General features: G+C 43.7%; 1 protein-coding gene and 1 long non-coding RNA gene across 11 annotated transcripts in view; one reads left to right on the top strand and one right to left on the bottom strand.

The window, feature by feature from the left end:
- Nucleotides 1–11,962: 11,962 nt before the first annotated feature.
- LOC105377938 (uncharacterized) lies at nucleotides 11,963–15,882 on the bottom strand. The gene is made up of 2 exons (XR_942860.3): nucleotides 15,737–15,882; nucleotides 11,963–12,090 (listed from the first exon to the last, which is right to left on the bottom strand). It is a non-coding gene; the product is annotated as an uncharacterized LOC105377938 (long non-coding RNA).
- SLC22A16 (solute carrier family 22 member 16) overlaps nucleotides 14,786–19,021 on the top strand; it is a 51,927-nt gene continuing 47,691 nt past the window's right edge. For 7 of the 10 annotated variants that reach the window (XM_011536211.3, XM_047419435.1, XM_011536208.4 and 4 more), the window contains exon 1: nucleotides 14,786–14,877. In XM_011536211.3, coding sequence (XP_011534513.1) covers nucleotides 14,825–14,877 — 53 coding nt within the window. In that variant the 5' untranslated portion in view covers nucleotides 14,786–14,824. Of the gene's footprint in view, nucleotides 14,878–14,946; nucleotides 15,142–17,989; nucleotides 18,159–19,021 lie in introns of those variants that run through there. The other 3 variants (XM_011536209.4, XM_011536204.4, XM_011536207.4) reach the window with 3 other exon arrangements.

Genomic DNA, 19,021 nt, shown 5'->3' with positions numbered 1-19,021 from the left:
AATACAAAATTAGTCGGGTGTGGTGGTGTGCGCCTGTAATCCCAGTTACTCAGGAGACTGAGGCAGGAGAATCACTTGAACCTGGGAGGCAGAGGTTGCAGTGCCAAGATCACACCATTGCATTCCAACCTGGGCAACAGAGCAAGACTCTGTCTCAAGAAAACAAAACAAAACAAAACAAAAACAAAAACAAAAACAAAAAACCACGGTTGACAAAGAAATTTGTTACCTCTGTAGCACACAATAATTTAACGTAACAGTTATTACTGATAATGTATACTAAGTCCTACCAGAATTATAGGAGTTTCACATAACTTTTGAACACATACCAGTAAGATACTTCTACAAATACAGCCCAAAGAAAGTCAAACATTATTTCATATTTGACAATGCTTCCTGTATAATTTTTATGCCAAATAAGCCAAATTATGTTATTTTTGGACTTTAGGAAACCTAATATCTTAAAAGATTAATTAAGTCAGAAAAAGACATAATTTATAATTTTTGTTAAAGAGCAGATCAGTGCTCTAAGAAAAACCGGTTGTGCTTTTATTCCAATATTCAATTTATTGAAAAACTGAAGATTAATTCCTTTAACTTTAGCCAATATGTTCACACACATAATTTCTTTTGTAAGACCAATTTTTCAGAAACCTTCCAAAAAGTCAAAGAAGCAGTTCATTACCTTAAAGCATTTAGCAAACCTAATATATGACCTGCATAATTTAGACCAAATGTCTACATTTTTGAAGATATTTTTATTTTACCAGTAATCTTTAAAACCATTTTTATTTCTCAAAGATTACTCAAGTCATGTGAACTAAAATGCATCACACTTTTTATTTTTCTGACAAAATATTTGCCTACCTAGTTATTATACACCAAAGCTCTCTCATAATGGGAAGTAATTTTTAATACCCCCAAAAGTAAAAAATGTCAGTTAATGCAATGCAAAACAGTACAAAGCCTTAGATTTTGAGAGGAATCTATCCACTTTTTAATCCCTGGGGTTCCATGAGGAAAACAGAGGTTTTTCCCAAAATGGGATCTGTGGCTCCTCCTATGTTTTCCCCAAGGATTTCCAGGCTGTTAGAGCTTGAATAAGCTGACTTAACCACAGTGCTCTTTTAAAAAGTCCTTTTAAATCTCGTATTACCAGACTTTAGCCAGGCCAAACGGCCAAGATTCCTGGCTTTTGAACTTTACCAAAAGCAACCTCACAGGTGAAACCAACAAGTCTTAACTAAAGTTATGGCTTAATCACGAGTGTATGAGGTATTTTCAAAAAGGTGGTAAGCAGTTTTTACAAGATCTAGAATCTCCAGTGGTAGCTAAAAGAAAGGAAGATTCAAGAAGGGAACCAGAAATTGTACATGGAGGGGAAGAGAATCAACAAATGTTAAAGGTCATGCAGAAATCAAACCAGAAAGGGGTCATCTCCTAAGCTGGAATTGAACCCAGGCCATCATTGTAAAATGGCAGAGACCAAGAGACAGTACTGCCACATGGTTACAAGGTCAAGCTCCCAAGGACATGAAACAAGATGAGAGGGAAACTTTATCCAGTTTTTTTGGTTTCAGAGACCTGCAGCAAAATTTGTAACTGACCAGTTTGCTGGACCATCTTGAACAGTGGGTTTACAGGGGTCCTAGGCTTGCATTCTATCCTACGGTACCCATCTTTATGACAGAACAATACAGAAAGACACACAAAGCACACCAGATTTGCTACAGCATAAGATTACCCTCACAAATCCTTTTTCTCATTAATTAAAACTTTACAGAAGATAAACAGAGATTTTTACCATTCATTCAATCAGTTTGCACAGCAAGAGAGAGAGGCCAGAAGTCTGACTGGTAAGAAATTCTTACCCTTTTGCCAGCATGCCAGGCTTCTGGGTTCCCTTTGCCTGAGTGGCCCTAGTGACCTGGCTTGCTGCACCATAGCGCTGGGGGCCAACCCTCAACACAAAGGAAAATTATCTTTTTCCATTCTGGCTGGAGCAAAATATGTGTGACAAAACACAGACATCAGCCACTCTGCTTAGCACCCAATATCAAACTGGCAAAGCTCAAACTTGCCCCCGGTTGGCCCCATAATTGTTAATCCAGTCTCCAACCAGGAGTTTCAATTTGTGGTCTCTGGGCAAGATGGTAGCCCTGGGTAATAGAAAAGATAAGAAAGAGAAAGGAGAGAAAAGGAGTGAAGCGTAGTCTGCAGTAGGGTGGGGAAGGTGAAGAGCTCAGAGAGGCCAGAGAAAAACCCACCCATCCCAGCGATGCTGAATCAAAAGTTCAGGTGGCTTCTTGTCAGTCACGAAGGGATCTTTTCCAGCAGTTTCACCAGCTCTCAAGTTTCCTCCTTTAGGGAGGAAAAAGCTCCCCATGTCCCATGATCCTGTACATGACTAATTCTGTCACCCACAGCCACCAGCAAAGAGTGCAAGGCAGACTTATCCAAAGAAATAGCAGTTAACATCCTGTAATGCCAAACCTGTTCTTAGCTGAGAGGGACTTTACCAAGACAGGCCTCCAACCCCCTAAATTTTAGGAAGGACTCTAATCTTCCTAAGTTGGGCCGTGAACCAAGGTTTGGTCAAGCATCCTTGCCTTTTCTTAAGAGGGGTCTTTAACCCTCTCTGTCTTAGGAGAGACTCTAACTCCCCTAAGTTGGGCCCCTAACCCAATCCCATCCTTGACCCGGGTACTCCACCATGTACCCAAAATCAGTCAGTCAGTGCTAGTCTATTTCCTTTGAGTCGAGGGTCTCCTCAGTGTAGTCTTTTCATGGCTCTCCAGAAAGTTGTTACTGGAAAGGGGTCCTGATCCAGACCCCAAGAGGGGGTTATTGGATCTTGTGCAAGAAAGAATTCAGGGTGAGTCTATAAAGGGAAAATAAGTACATAAAGAAAGTAAAGGAATAAAAGAATGGCTACTCCATTGGCAGAGCAGCCCCAAGGGCTGCTGGTTACCCTTTTTAATGGTTATTTCTAAAATATACACCAAACAAGGGGTGGATTATTCCTGCCTCCCCTTTTTAGACCACATAGGGTAACTTCCTGACATAGTCATAGCATTTGTAAACTGTCATGGCGCTGGTGGGAGTGTAGCAGTGAGGACAACCAGAGGTCACGCTCATGGCCATCTTGGTTTCAGTGGGTTTTAGCTCGCTTCTTTATTGCAATCTGTTTTATCAGCAAGGTCTTTATGACCTGTATCTTGTGCCAACCTCCTATCTCATCCTGTAAATTAGAATGCCTAACCAGCTGGGAATGCAGCTCAGCAGGTCTCAGCCTTATTTTGCCCAGCTCCTATTCAAAATGGAGTTGTTCTGGTTCAAACACCTCTGACAATTTTGTTTATTTTTTGTAGAGATGAGGTCTCATTATGCTGCCCAGGCTGGTCTCAAACTCCCAGGCTCAAGTGATCCTCCTGCCTTGGTCTCCTGAAGTGCTGAGATTACAAGTGTGAGCCACTATGCCCAGCTAATTAAACTGTTTATTTGCTGCAACACCTGATGTTCTTAGTGCATTAGCTTTTCTGGACAGTGGGCAAGACGAACCCATTAGGTTGTTACAGTTTGGGTGGTATTTTCTGGGATCTGGACCTGGAGAATCTGCTCAATCAGAAGAGGGAGCCAGCCATGGTGGCACGAGCACCTGTAGTCCCAGCTACTTAGAAGACTGAGGCAGGAGGATCACTTGAGCCCACGAGTTTGAGTCCAGCCTGGGCAACATAGTGAGACCCTGTCTCTAATTTTACGAAAAGAGAGAGAGAGGAAATAGGGGAAGAAGAGCCAGGGATAAGAAATGCAGAGGACGGCCGGGTGTGGTGGGTCACGCCTGTAATCCCAGCACTTTGGAAGGCTGAGGTGGGCAGATCACGAGGTCAGGAGTTTGGGACCAGCCTGGCCAGCGTGATTAAATCCCGTCCCTACTAAAGATACAAAAAAAATTAGCTGGGTGTGGTGGTATGTGCCTGTAATCCCAGCTACTTGGGAGGCTGAGGCAGGAGAATTGCTTGAACCCAGGAGGCAGAGGTTGCAGTGAGCCAAGATTGCGCCATTGCACTCCAGCCTGGGTGACAGGGTGAGACTCCATCTCAAAAAAAAAAAAAAAAAAAAAAAAGAAAAGAAAAGAAAAAAAGAAATGCTGGGGACATCAACATTCAAAGGCAGTGGGGGAGCCAAGGTAATTTTTCGACAGAGAATCCAGTATTAGCCTAAATTCCATCTAGATTCACAGGCCCTGGAAAGCAGGACTTTGAGAAATGGAGAGGAGGTAATTTGGAACCAGGAGCCTTCAGATGGGTAGAACACAGTGAGTGCTAGGTACAGGTGAGGGTGGCAATTAGAAACCAGCCCCAGCCTGATGCATGGTGGGACACAGGTGATGGGGTGTCTGGAATTGGAGAGAAGTGTGGGAAGTGAAGTGAGAGGGTGCTGAGACAAACTTGACTCTGGAATTTCCCCAGGCAGGCTCTGACTGGGCTCTCCTGAGGAAGGACTTCGGCTTGGTAGCTGGAGCAGGTTCCCTGGGCCAAGGGGAGGACAGGGTGGGGCAGACCCTATGAGAATGGCTGCAAGACTCTTACTGCAATAACTCAGTGAGCTGCCATCCTCCCCCTCCCCCACCACACAAACTCCCCTTCCCACTTTGTTGATGATTTCTTAGCTCTGGATGCTTCCGGTCCATTTATAGCTAACCTTATAATCGGATGCATACTTGTCATTTTATAAGTAGAGCTCTTGGTCACTCTTTGCCCATCAATTAACTCAATTGTGGTGTTTGTTGTCTGTCCTCTTTCTACTTTCTGGATACCTTGTATGGACCTAGATGTGGTTCCAGGGACACTTTGAATAGAAAGGCCAGGCTGAGATGAGGGTTGGGCCTGGAGGCCCCTTGGACCACTGGACATCAGAACATTTACTCACGTGCCAGGGACTCTAAGTCACCCAACTGAACAACTACACCTTCTAGATTTAGAAGAATGCACATACATAGTTTCCTCTCAGGCCCCTGCTTTCTCCCCTCCCTTTCTTCCCACCTCCCTTCCACTTACTGGCAGAAATATATCCACCCTGTATTGTGTTAAGATGACTTTATTGCATTTCTAAAGGGCAAGTGTGTTGTTGGTAGGCTCCCTTTTAGGAAGCTGAAAGGCTTGCCTGAGTGCTGGGTGGGGTTAGAGCCAGGACCCCAGTCTTCTTCCATTCATGTGTGGAGAAACTGCTTTTAGGAAATTGCTTACAGTTTGTTTTATTATTCCCTCTGCTTGGACTATGTCCATTCATTCATTTATTCAACATATATTTATTGAGCACCTATTATATGTCAAAATGCTTGCTCTCGTGGAGCTCGTATTTGAGAGTAATGATATCAGAATGCACATATTATATATGTATTACATATATATATAATTAGGTTGAAGAAAAACAAAACAAGGTAGCATGGTAAGGGGCTAGAAAATGATGAGGACTGATATTTTAGGAGGAGCAGAGAACAATGACCTGACTGAAGTGAGGAAATGAGCCACGTGGCTCTCCAGGACCAGAAGTTTCAGGCAGAGGAATAGCACGCGAAAAATCCAGAGACTAGGGAGGTGGGTGTTTACTGTGTTTGCTGTCTTTGAGGATGAGCAAGGATGCCAGTGTGGCTGGAGTGGAGCAGGAGTTGAGAAAGAGTGGTAGGGAGGTGGGTCAAAGAAGCAGCCAGAGCTGTGGCCGGACTTTGCATTTTTTTCTGAGCATGATAGGAAGCAGCTGAGCAAGGGAGGGACTTGATCTGGATTCTATTTCCTGCTATGTGGGGTGAGGGAGGAAGCAAGGAGAGCAGCTGGGAGAGACAGAGTATAACAGAATCGGGGTCTATTATAAAGGAAGAGCAACCAGAATTTTCTAATGGAAAAGGATATGGAGTGTGAAAGCAAAAGAGGAGTAGTAAAAGACACCAAGGGTTTTGGCCTGAGCAACTCAAGGACAGGGATGTCATTTACCGAGATGGGAAGTGCTGGAGAGGAACAGGAGTGAGGGTGGCCACGGTGAAATGTGGCTTTGGGATGTGTGGTGGAGATGTGGAGAAGGTGGAGGTGTTAACAAGTCTAGAGTGCTGGGATGAGGTCATGTTGGACATGTAACTCTGGGGATTATCAATGTATGTTTTGAAAGCCATTAAGATTGTCTGTAAAGAACAAGATGGTAAGTGTTTTAGGATTGTCCCAACCACTCAACTCTGCCATTATAATATGAAAGCAGCCATAGACAATATGTGAATGAATGATCATGACCATGTTCCAATAAAACTTTATTTTAGAAAGCAGATAGTGGGTCAGATTTTGGCCCATAGGATATAGTTTGCCAAATCTTAGACGAGGTGGTATTACCTAGGTAGACTGTAAAAAGAAAAGAGAAGAACTCAGAGCCTTGGGGCACCCAACACTTAGAAATTGGGAAGAGGAGAGGGATCTAAGAGAATGAGATATAACAAGCAGCAAGGGAACAGGCAAATTAAGAGATTGGGGTGGCATGGGAGATGGAAGATGTTTCAAGAAGGACAAACCAATATTATGGTGCCAATAAACGTTGTGAAATACACTGAAATGGACAAAAAAATTGAGTGTTCTGTCTAGTATACCCTTCAGGGTTATATTTATTTTTCATTGCTTTTGAGCTATTTTACAACTTTTTAAGTTGTAGAAAACTGACAATAATGCAAATGATTCTTGTCTATGAAAACAAATTATGTCCAGTACAATGCAATTAATTGCACTGGTGGAATTGGTAGAATGCAATTGCCCTGTGAATAAACCAGTTTTGCATCTATAATCATGTGATGCTTAACCACAAGGATATGTTCTAAGAAATGCGGTATTGTTAGGCAATTTTGTCATTGTGCAAACATCATACAGTGTGCTTACACAAACCTAGATGGTATAGCCCACTACACACCAGGCTGTAGGGTAGAGCCTATTGCTTCGAGGCTACAAACCTGAACAGCATGTTACTGAACTGAATGCTGTAGGCAATTGGAACACAGTGGTGAATATTTCTGCATCTAAACATATCTAAATATTTAAAAGGCACAGTAGAAATACAGTAAAAAAGATTTGAAATGCTACATGTATGTAGTGCACTTACTATGAATGGAGCTTACAGGACTGGAAGCTGCCCTGGGGGAGCCAGTGAGTGAGAGATAGTAAATGTGAAGGCTTAGGACATTATTGTACCTGATGGTAGATTTTATAAACACTGTACACCTAGGCTACATTAAATATATTTAACGTTTTTTTCTTTCTTCAATAATAAATTAACCTTAGATTACCGTAACATTTTTATCCTATGAACTTTTAAATTTTAACAATCTTGTTGACTGTTTTCTAATAATATTTGGCTTAATACACAAACACATTGTACAGCTGTATAAAAATATTTGTTCTTTATATCCTCATTCTATAAACTTTTTTAATTTAAATTTTTTTTTTTTTACTTTTTAAACTTTTTTGTTAAAAATGAAGACAGAAACACATACATTAGCCTAGGCCACACAGGGTAAGGATTATCAATATCACTGCCTTCCACCTCTACTCCTTGTCCCACTGGAATGTCTTCAAGGGCAATAATATCCTTGGGGCTGTCGTCTCCTATGACAACAATGCCATCTTCTGGAGCACCTCCTGAAGGACTTATCTTAGGCTGTTTTACAGCTAACTTTTTTTTTTCTTTTGAGACAGAGTTTCACTTTTGTTGCCCAGGCTGGAGTGCAATGCGTGATCTTGGCTCACCGCAACCTCTGCCTCCCGGGTTCAAGCGATTCTCCTGCCTCAGCCTCCCGAGTAGCTGGGATTACAGGCACCCGCCACCACGCCTGGCTAATTTTGTATTTTTTGCAGAGACGGGGTTTCTCCATGTTGGACAGGCTGGTCTCAAACTCTCAACCTCAGGTGATCTGCCTGCCTTGGCCTCCCAAAGTGTTGGGATTACAGGCATGAGCCACCAAGCCCGGCCTACAGCTAACTTTTTTTATAAGTACGATGAGTACACTCTAAAATAATGATGAATGTACAGTATAGTAAATACGTAAACTAGTAATACAGTTGCTTATGATCATTATCAAGTCCTATGCACTGTACATAGTTGTATGTGCTATGCGTTTATACAACTGGTAGTACGGTGAATTGGTTTACACCAGCATCACCACAAATACATTGCGTAATGCATTGTGCTATGATGTTAGGACAGCTATGATGTTACAAGGCAACAGGAATTTTTCAGCTCCATTATACCCTATGGGAATACCAACATATATGGGGTCCATTGTTGACCAAAATGTTGTTTTGCAATGTGCAACTGTATTTGTAAATTTAGAATAGCATTCCTTATTGCTTTTGTATGTGAGTTTCATTAACTTCTTTAAACTGGTTGTAACATCTTACCGGTTCCCTCATTAGTGAGTAAAATAAAATCATTTACATGTATTCATTTTATATTTGTATGTGAGCCATGATTTCACTTTTTGAAATAATTATTATTTGACAATGGAGATTAAGTTAAATAAATATTAAGAATTAACAAAATTGGCAACATACAGATCATGGTGACTTTGATAAGAACGATTTTGGAGTAGGAAGGGTGAAAGACTGATTGGAGCAAATTGTGTAAAGCTATAATAAATAATAAAGACACATGGGCACAGGGGTAAATAAATAGACCAATGGAACAGAGTTAGAGATCCCAGAATAAACCCACACATAAATAGAAACTTTGTAGATGGCAGAGATGGTAATGCAGGAAAAGGATGGAGTAGTCAATAAATGGGGCTGGTACAATTTGTCATCTATATGAGAAAAAAAACAAAACTGGATCTCTACCTCAAACAAATCAGTCTGTTCCAGTGGATTTAAGATGATATGGTTTGGATCTGTGTCCTTGCCCAAATCTCACGTCGAATTGTAATCCCCAATGTTGGAGGTGAGGGCTGGTGGGAGATGACTGATCATGGAGGGGGATTTCTCATGAATAGTTTAGCACCAACATCTTGGTGCTGTTCTCCATGATAGTGAGTGAGTTAATGTGAGATCTGGGCATGCAAAAGTGTGTAGCAGCTCTTTACCTCTCTTGCTTCACTCTGGCCATGTGACGTGCCTGCTCGCCCTTTGCTCTCTGCTATGATTATAAGTTTCCTGAGGTCTCCCCAGAAGCTGAGCAGATGCCAGCACCATGCTTCCTGTACAGCCTACAGAACAGTGAGCCAATTAAAATTCTTTTCTTTGTAAATTACGCCATCTCAGGTGTTTCTTTATAGCAACGTGAAAAGGGACTAATACAGACTTTTAGAAGAAAATAGAAGGGAATATTTTTGTGGCCTCATGGTAATGAAAAAAATTTAAAATAAGACACAAAATCACAAACCTTAAAGGAAAACATTTATGAATTTGACACCATTAAAATTTTAAAAACTTTTGATTATCAAAAGACACATTAAAGAGATTGAAAACACAATTACTCATAACACTTAACTGACAAAAGATAGGTATCCAGATTCTGCAAAGAACACTTACAAATCAATATAAATAAAAATAACTTAATAGAAAAATGTGCAAAAAATATGAATAAACAATTATCAGAAGAGAAAACTCAAATGATCAATGAACATATGAAAAGATGTAAAACCTCACTACTAATTAGAGAAATGCAAATTAAAACCCCAATATAATACTATTTTACATCTCTTTAATGGACTAATCTTTAAGAGTGTGATGATCCAAGTATTGGCAAAGATGTGGGGACATTAGAACTTTTATACTCTCTTGAGTGGAAGGTAAATTGTTATAATCACTTTAGAAAGCAATTTGGCAATATTTAATATTTTAAGTTTTTCTAAGCAGTTTTCCAGGGGTTGTTGTGTTATAGGGTATACATATAACACAGCAACTCCTGGAGATATACCTTAGAAAAACTCACAAATATGTACAGAGGGACAGTTTATAGCAATGGTGCTGTAGTAAGATTTTGGCTATAACCTGCCTGTCCATCAATAAGAAAATGATTAAGTAAATTGTGGTTTATTGAGACAATGGAATACTATGTAGCAATGAAAAAGAATGGATTAGAGCTGCATGTATCAATATGGATGAATTTCACAAACAGATGTTCAAGGGAAAGAGCAAGTTGCACAATACATGTTCATACCTAGTTTTCAGTTTACAGATCTTGCACATTTTTGTCAGATTTATCCCTAAGTATATTTTAAGTGTTATTGAAAATGGTATTTTAGGCTGGGCCTGGTGGCTCATGCCTGTAATCCCAGCATGGCTTTGGGAGGCTGAGATAGGAGGATTGCTTGAGCCTAGGAGTTCAAGATCAGCCTAGGCAACATAGTGAGACCTCCACTTTACAAAAGAAATAAAAATAGCCAAGCATAGTGGATCATGCCTGTAATCCTATCATTTAGGGAAGCAAAGGTGGGGTATAGCTTAAGCCCAGGAGTTTGAGACCTGCCTGGGCAATATAGCGAGACCGTGTTCTCTACAAAAGAGGGGAAAAAAGAAAAAATAAATAAAAATTTACAAAATTAGCTGGGCATGGTGGTGCATGCCTGAAGTCACAAATACTCAGGAGGCTGAGGTGGGAGGATCACTTGAGCCCAGGAGGTTGAGGCTGCAGTGGACTATGATCATTCCACTGCAGTCCGGCCTGGACAACACAGTAAGACCCTATATCAAAAAAAAAAAAAAAAAAAAGAAGAAAACAGTATTTAAAAAATTCCAATTTCTAATTGTTCCTTACTAGTATATAGAAATACAGTAGACTGTTGTATATTAATCTTATATCCTGTAACTTTGCTAAAATCACTTATTCTAGTAGCTATTAAAAATAGATTCCATCAGATTTTCTCTATATTTGACCATGTCATCTGTGAATAAACACAGTTTTATTTCTTCCTTTTCAATCTGAATGCCTTTTTTTCCACCTAATGCTCTGGTTAGAACCCCCCATACAAAGCTGAATAGAAGCAGTGAGAACAGACATCTTTGTCTAGTTCCCAATCTTAGGGAGAAAACATACAGTCTTTCACATGAAGTATACTGTTAGCTATGGGTTGTTTTTTGGAGATGCCCTTTATGAGATGGATGTAATTCCCTTCTATTCTTAGTTTGTTCAGTGTTTTTATTATGAAAAGGTGTTGGCTTCTCCCAAATGTGTTTTTTGCATTGACTGGGATAATCATGTTTTTTCATATGGTCTGTTAGTATGGTAAATTATATTGCTTGATTTTCAGATGTTAAATCACTCTTGCATTCTTGTGATAAATCTCATGTGCTCATGATGTACTTGTCCTTTTAAATATAAAGAGACATCCAATTTGCTAAAGTTTTGTTGAGAATTATTGCATCTATGTTCATATAGGTATATTGGTGTATAGTTTTCTTGCCTTGTAAGGTCTTTACCTGGTTTTGATGTCAGAGTAATGCTGGACCATTCAGTGATTTGGGACGTATTCACTCATCTTCAACTTCCTTGAACAGTTTGTGCAGAATCAATATTATTTCTACCTTAAATGTCTGACTCTGGGGCTTTCTTTCTTTTCTTTTTCTTTTTTCTTTTTTTTGAGGCAGGGTCTCACTGTGTCACCCAGGCTGGAGTGCAGTGGCCCAGTCACGGCTCACTGCAGCTTCGACCTTCCAGGCTCAAGTAATCCTCCCACCTCAGCCTCCCAAGTAGCTAGGATAACAGGCGTGCACCATGATGCCTGGCCAAATGTTTTGCATTTTTTATAGAGATGAGGTTTCACCATGTTGCCCAGGCTGGTCTCAAACTCCTTGACTCAGGCGATCCTCCTGCCTCAGCCTCCTAAAGTGTTAGGACTACAGGTGTGAGCCACTGCACGTGGCCAACCCTGGGGTTTTCTTTGTGGAAACATGTGTTAGTCTATTTGCATTGCTATAAAGGAATACCTGAGACTGGATAATTTATAAAGAAAGGAGATTTATTTGGCTCATGGTTCTGTAGGCTGTACATGAAGCATAGTGCCAGCATCTGCTTCTGTTGAGGGCCTCAGGAAGCTTCCAGTCATGGCAGAAGATGAAGCGGTCCCTGAATCACATGGTGAGAGAAGGAACAAGAGAGAAGGAGGAGGAAGTTCCAGACTCTTTCAAACAACCAGATATTGTGTGAACTCATAACTGAGAATTCACTCATTACTGGGGAGGATGGCACCAAGACATTCATGAAGGATCCATGATCCAAACCCCTCCCACCAGGCCCCACCTCCAACATTAGGGACTACATTTCAACACGAGATTTGGAGAGGACAAACATCCAAACTATATCAGAAGGTTTTTAATTGCATATTCAATTTCTTTAATAGATGTAGGCCTATTTTGGTTATCTATTTCTTCTTGAGTGTTGTTAGATTGTATTTTTCAGTAATTTGTCCATTTTATCCATATTGTGACATTTCTATCTGGTGTAATAAGAATAGTGTTCATATCAAAGTTCAATTTCTCCATATCTTTTCCAGGTAACTCTCCCTTTGGTGCTTTGAAGCAATATGGCGTCTTGACTGGCTGCCATGGCCCCCACCTTTCCTCCTAGGCTCAGCCCTTGACATAACTACTCCTCACTACCCTCTCATCTTCCCCCCACCTTGTATCCCTCTAGCATTCCTCACCTGAAGAACTTAGGCTTTCTTAAGTCTCTTTAGTTAGCAGGAAACTATCTAATTTAAAAACCCTCTCCAAGTTGTTTATTACTTAAGGGATTAGTCCTTCCAAGAGTATTTATGTTTCAGAAGAGAATGTCTAGATAGGATTGTGCATAACAAAAATAAGTCAATTTTTAATGGTGTTATTGTAGGCTCTGTGACAAGTAGGGGAGGGAAGCACTTTGGGAAATGGACTCTCCTCTCTTTCAAATATTATTCAAGTACAAGTTTGCGCCTGTTACTCTTCTGCTTTAAGACTGTCTACAGGGAGTTCTCCTTGTCCTTTGGTCAAAGTAAAATGTTCAACACAGCCTTGCAAGATCCTGCCGCTTCTCGGAGCCATCAGACCCACTCTTGATGCTCTGCTCTGGTAGAGCTCTGCCCTGGCCCTCAAACTGTTGGACTTCTCTGAGAAAGCGATAGGTGTGCTCAGATTTTAAGGATGAGGTGGAGAAGTTCAGAGAGAGGGCATTTGCTATGGAACTGAGGCTACCAAAGTGACGAAGAGAATGCATCCCTGTTCTCTAGGAACTCAAGGTTTAGTGGCCTTATAGAGTGGAATAGCACGCCAACAGTGGGGCCAGTGACTGCCAGGCTGACTAGAGAAGGCAACTCTCACTGTGGATATAGTCGGAAACTGGCTTTTCTGCTTCAGCGCTGTGGACCAGCAATTGACCTTTCTTCCCTAAAGTTCATTCACTTGATACCTTCCAGAAGGAAGGTCACCCCCTGCCTGGGTTGGCTATGGGCCAAACCCCTGCCCACTCCAAAGTGTGGCTTGGAATGCCATGGTCTGCTTATTAAAAATCAGATTTCGGGAGGCCAAGGCGGTCGGATCACGACGTCAGGAAATCGAAATCATCCTGGCTAACACGGTGAAACCCCGTCTCTACTAAAAATACAAAATATTAGCCGGACGTGGTGGCGGGCACCTCCCCGCTACTTGGGAGGCTGAGGCAGGAGAATGGTTTGAACCCGGGAGGTGGAGCTTGCAGTGAGCCGAGATTGCACCACTGCACTCCAGCCTGGGCGACAGAGCGAGACTCCGTCTCAAAAAAAAAAAAAAAAAAAAAAAAAAAAAAAAAAAAAAAAATCAGATTCCTGTTCCCCAGGCATCCTGAATCATCAGGGATGGAGTCTCAAAATAAATGTACATTTATTTATTTTTTATTTTTGTATAGACGAGGTGTCGCTATACGTTGCCCAGGCTGGTCTCAAACTCCTTGGCTCCAGCAATCCTCCTGCCTCGGCCTCCCAAAGCACTGGGATTATAGGCCTGAGCCACCACGCCGGCCTAATTGTACTTTTATTTTTTTGAGACGGAGTTTCACTCTTGTTCCTCAGGCTGGAGTGCAATGGCACGATCTTGGCTCACCGCAACCTCCGTCTCCAGGGTTCAAGCGATTCTTCTGCCTCAGCCTCCCGAGTAGCTGGGATTACAGGCATGTGCCACCACGCCCGGCTAATTTTGTATTTTTAGTGGAGACGGGGTTTCTCCATGTTGGTCAGGCTAGTCTTGAACTCCCGACCTCAGGTGATCCGCCCGCCTCGGCCTCCCAAAGTGCTGGGATTACAGGCGTGAGCAAGTGCGCCCGGCCTTAAATGTACCTTTTAAACCAAGTTCTGCAGTAGATTCTTAGGCATTAAAGTTTGAGAGCCATGTTTCTGAGGGGCGTCATGCTGAAGGCTATATATTCTTGCGGCCCCCGGACCGAGCCTAGCCCTTGCATTCCCACCCTGGGCTCTCTCTCAGCGACAACTTTTCCCAGGCGTCGGGGCTTCCCTCGAGCGTGGCGACCCCGCAGACATGGTGCCAAGAGCCAGGGTGGGCGGCGGGGCGGGTGGGAGAGCGGCGGCGCTGGGGGCGAGGGCACCATGCGACCGCGGGCGCCGGGACCACAGCGCGCCGGGAAGGAGGCCGAGGCGGCAGGAAAAAAGCCGAAGATACTTGGGGGGACCGAGGGGCCAAGCGACGGAGGGAGGAACAGAATACAGCCTCGCGCTGGTCCCGAGCACTGGGACGCGCGGGGAGAGCAGGAGGCCGGGCGGGGAGGTTCGGGGCGGGGCGCGCTACCCGCAGTCCCCGGAGCTCGGCTAACTCGGCGCCCAGTGCACGGCCGCACCATGGGGTCCCGCCACTTCGAGGGGATTTATGACCACGTGGGGCACTTCGGCAGGTATGGGGGAGGGGCCCCGCGGCGCCACGCGGGAGGCGGCGCCGAGGGGTCTGTTTCTTTCCGTTGCGGCGGGGTTCTCGCGCGGCGCTCGCGATCCGAAAACATCTCCACTTCCTCCTCACCCCGCGCAGTCGGGACACGGGCGTCCAGACGCCGGCCCCTAGCTGGGCTTCTCCTCTAGGCCTCTGGCAGCGGGACCTGGCATGGTGAGCAGAGGCGCTGGGCTCGCTCGGAGTGCGCCTGTTGCCGGGCAGGAGGGACCTGGTGCGTGCTCTCCGCGGCAGCAGATGCTGGAGGCATCTGGCTGGAGATCTGGCTCGAGGGGCCAGATCTCACTCGTAGGGGGTGCCTGTGCCTGGCCGCCCGTTTCTCTAATCCGCCGCCACTTCCCTAGACGGCTGCTGCCCAGTTCTGCCCTGCGCCTCCGTAGGGCCTCCCTCTGTGCCTGGCAGGTGTTCCCCAGGGACAACCGTTAGTCAGAGTTGGTTGCCGTTTATTAAAACCTAATACGTGCCAGGTACACTGTACCTGGCGCTTACACATAGTTCTTCATTTGATGTTCACCGGGACCCTGCAAAGGAGGTGTTCAAATCCTTATTTTAGTGATTGGGAAACAAGCTGGCGGGGTCAAGGACTCATAGCCAACGCATGGTGGAACCACGTTTAACCTCCGTACACCCTCTTTTCATTTGTCAAATTGATTTAAAAAATTTAAATTATTCATTCGTTCGTTCACTCATGGACAGAGCTCCTCTATCTGACTCAGAGTGTTTTGAGAGGGGAGGTAGCCGGGTGAGGGGCCATGCAGCGTTATGGCCGGAGATTTGGAGCTGCGTCTCGATCCTGGCCTGCTACTTACCTCTGATATGATTCTGGAGATACTTTGTGTGTCAGTTTCCTATCCAGAAAACGGGAATCAGGCTTAGCAAAGAGATGATGTGGTGCTGTTCTTCAAGGTGGAAGGTTGCATGCGTTTTGGTTTTGATTCCCAGTGTCTGCAAAAAGGAGCTGTTAGGACAGAGGAAACGGGCAGGAAGCCCCAGCTGTTCCCTTCTTCCTCTGCTTGCATCATTGAACGCTGCCTTGTGCCTGGCTCGGTCATAAGCCGTTGGTACATGTTACTTCCTTTAATCTTCACTACAGCCTTATAAGGTTGGTAGTATCACCCTCTTTTCACAGATGAGAAAACCAAGGTTTCTGCCTAAGCACAAATCTAATACTAGCAGGGCAGAATTGGATGCCATTGGATGCCCATCACCTCCACAGCCCACACTCTCAACCATGATGCACTCCTGAGCACGGTTAGGTGACGGCTCCTCAGCTGGGCCAAGCTCTTTATGTATGATCTCATTTCATCCTTCTGGAAGCAGAATAGCACAGAGGTTAAAAGATCAGTTTTAAGGCTGGATGTCTAAGTTCCCACTCTGGCGCTACCACACATTAACTATACGGTCTTGAGCATTTTATTTACCACTTTCTTATCTGTAAAATGGGGCTAATAATAGTACAAATGTTTTCAAATAGGAGTAGTGAAAATGTGTATATGAGGACTCTGCATGCAGTTTCTCATCCTTACAGTAACTCAATGAGGTAGGTGGTACTTACATCTTAGTTCCCCTGTGTTTTTTAGGGATTAGCTGAGGTAATTATATTAGTTGGTGTTTGACTAAAGTGCCCAATCAAACAGATTCCTCAAATGGAAGTTTATGCCTCTCCAGTAACTGCCCACAGCAGGATCTGTGCCACGAGACCATTCAAGGACCCTGGCAGGTGGGACAGCTCTGTCATCCACTGCATGGGGCTCCCTGTCTGTGCCTGGAGCAGCTGCGCACCCATGGTGACAGCTCACTACGGTGAAGAGGGGGCAAATGGGTTTGAGGAGACAGCTCTTAGCTGGCCACCATAATGTATGCAAAAGTCTTATTATTCAGTAAGTTCTCAATAAGTCATGGCTATTATCATTACCTGAGTTCCCATATTGGTGGTCAGGGTTGACTCGTGAAAGCAGCTTACAGGAGGGAAAAGGGTAACAAACCACTGCTTATATAGCAGAAGATGAAGACTGTGTGACTGCAACACAGTACCACATTTTTCTCAGGTATTTGTTCTAATTGGTATCTATTCTTTATAAACAGAAAGGAAAGTTATTGTGATGATTATTTAGTCCTCTCTTTAAGGGATCCTAGTGAAAGTGTTAAGTAGAGCAGTGGTCCCCAACCTTTTTAGCACCAGGGACTGGTTTTGTGGAAGACATTTTTTCCACAGACCTGGTCCCTAACCTTTTTAGCACCAGGGACTGGTTTCGTGGAAGATATTTTTTCCACAGACCTGTGGTGGGGTCGGGAGGATGGTTTCAGGATGGAACTGTTTCACCTCAGATCATCAGGCATTAGATTCTCATAAGGAGCACTCAGCCTAGATCCCTCGCATGTGCAGTTCACAATGGGGTTCACGTTCCTATGAGAATCTAATGCCGCCGCTGATCTGACAGGAGGTGGAGCTTAGGAAGTAATGCTCGCTGGCCGCTGCTCACCTCCTGCTGTGTGGTCCAGTTTCTAACAGGCCATGGACCAGTCTGGTCTATGGCCTGGGGCTTTGGGACCCCTACAGTAGAGAACCCTGATTACCTCTCATTTCTCATTGGTCATTTCTAGAATAAGGAAGCACTATTCTAGTCACCTTTAAAAGGGGAAAACAGGCCAGGTGCGGTGGTTCATGCCTGTAATCCCAGCACTTTGGGAGGCTGAGGCAGGCAGATCACGAGGTCGGGAGCTCGAGACCATCCTGGCTAATGTAGTGAAACCAAGTCTCCACTAAAAATACAAAAAAATGAGCCTGGCATGGTGGCGGGGGCCTGTGGTCCCAGCTACTTGGGAGGCTGAGGCAGGAGAATGGCGTGAACCCAGGAGGCAGAGCTTGCAGTGAGCCGAGATTGCGCCACTGCACTCCAGCCCGGGCGACAGAACGAGATTCCGTCTCAAAAAAAAAAAAAAAAAAAAAAAAAAAAAAAAAAAAAAAAAAAAAAAAAAAGGGAAAACAGGATACCTGAGAAGAACTAAAATACCATTCCAGGATTTCTCCTGAAACCATATCGTTTCCATAAACTTCACAGCTTAAGCTCCATATGAAAAGAAATTGAGAAGACTGAAATTTAGGCACCTGTGTTGGGAGGATCTGAACCTGGATCCCTGAGTTAGTTGTCCTGGGTTAAGAGGAGAGACGGTTTAAAAGTTTAGAGTTGGAATGTGGAGCCTGTGGCAGACCTTCATCAATGGATAGAGGTAGGGTTTTGTTTTGTTTTGTTTCAGTATATAGAGTTTTTCTGGCTCTTTTTTGACTTCAGTGTGTGAACATCATAACATCTATCATTTATATACAGCTACGGTGTGTCATAGAGTGCTTTCCATGTGTTAACTCATTTCATTCCCACAAAGCCCATAGTTTAGATGAGGAAACTGAGGCACAGAAAGGCTAAGGATCTTGCTCATGGTCCCTGGTGGTAAGTAACAGGGCCAAGATCAAACCTTGGCAGTCTGGCTCCAGAGTCCATGCTCTTAGCCATGATGGACTCCACCAGTTATGCTTTTATATGGAATGGTATAATCTAGGACTGAAAGCAGTTTTCTTCATCCGTCACTCAGATTGCATGGGTCCATTCCCTGGGGCTTCTGGCCGCCCTTGCTTTTCCTCGCCTCTGGGTTTTCTGCCGATTGTGTTTGTGTGATTATTTTTCCATTAGAGTGTCATATCTATAAGCCTGTTGTCCTGGTGGACCCCTAGGTTGGGTACATGCATGACACCTCTGAGGGCCAAGAATCTTTGTAAAAGAGAGAGTGATGTGTTAGAATGCTAGACGCCTAAGGAAATGGGGCTTGGTTTTTTTTCAAGAGGTTATTCTTGCAAAAGGGAAAGGGAAATTTGAATTGAAGGAGTGCTTAGGACCTTTCTAGCACATGGAAAGTGTGTTTATGTGAACTAGCATGGCTTGATTGGGGGCCACTTAGTGGTTTATTATTTTGGGGGTATAAAATATGAGAGTGAGAGAGGCAGGAGGTAAGCTTACAGTCATCTCCATGAGTGTTTTTGCAAAGTTTGGGTATCAGAAGTTTGGGTTTTGCAGTGCAGAGGGTGGATTGGAGGGGCA

Source organism: Homo sapiens, chromosome 6, assembly GCF_000001405.40.
Source record: "Homo sapiens chromosome 6, GRCh38.p14 Primary Assembly".
Lineage (NCBI taxonomy): Eukaryota > Metazoa > Chordata > Mammalia > Primates > Hominidae > Homo > Homo sapiens.
Note: the sequence above shows the minus strand (reverse complement) of the source record. Positions and strands in the feature narration are given on the sequence as shown.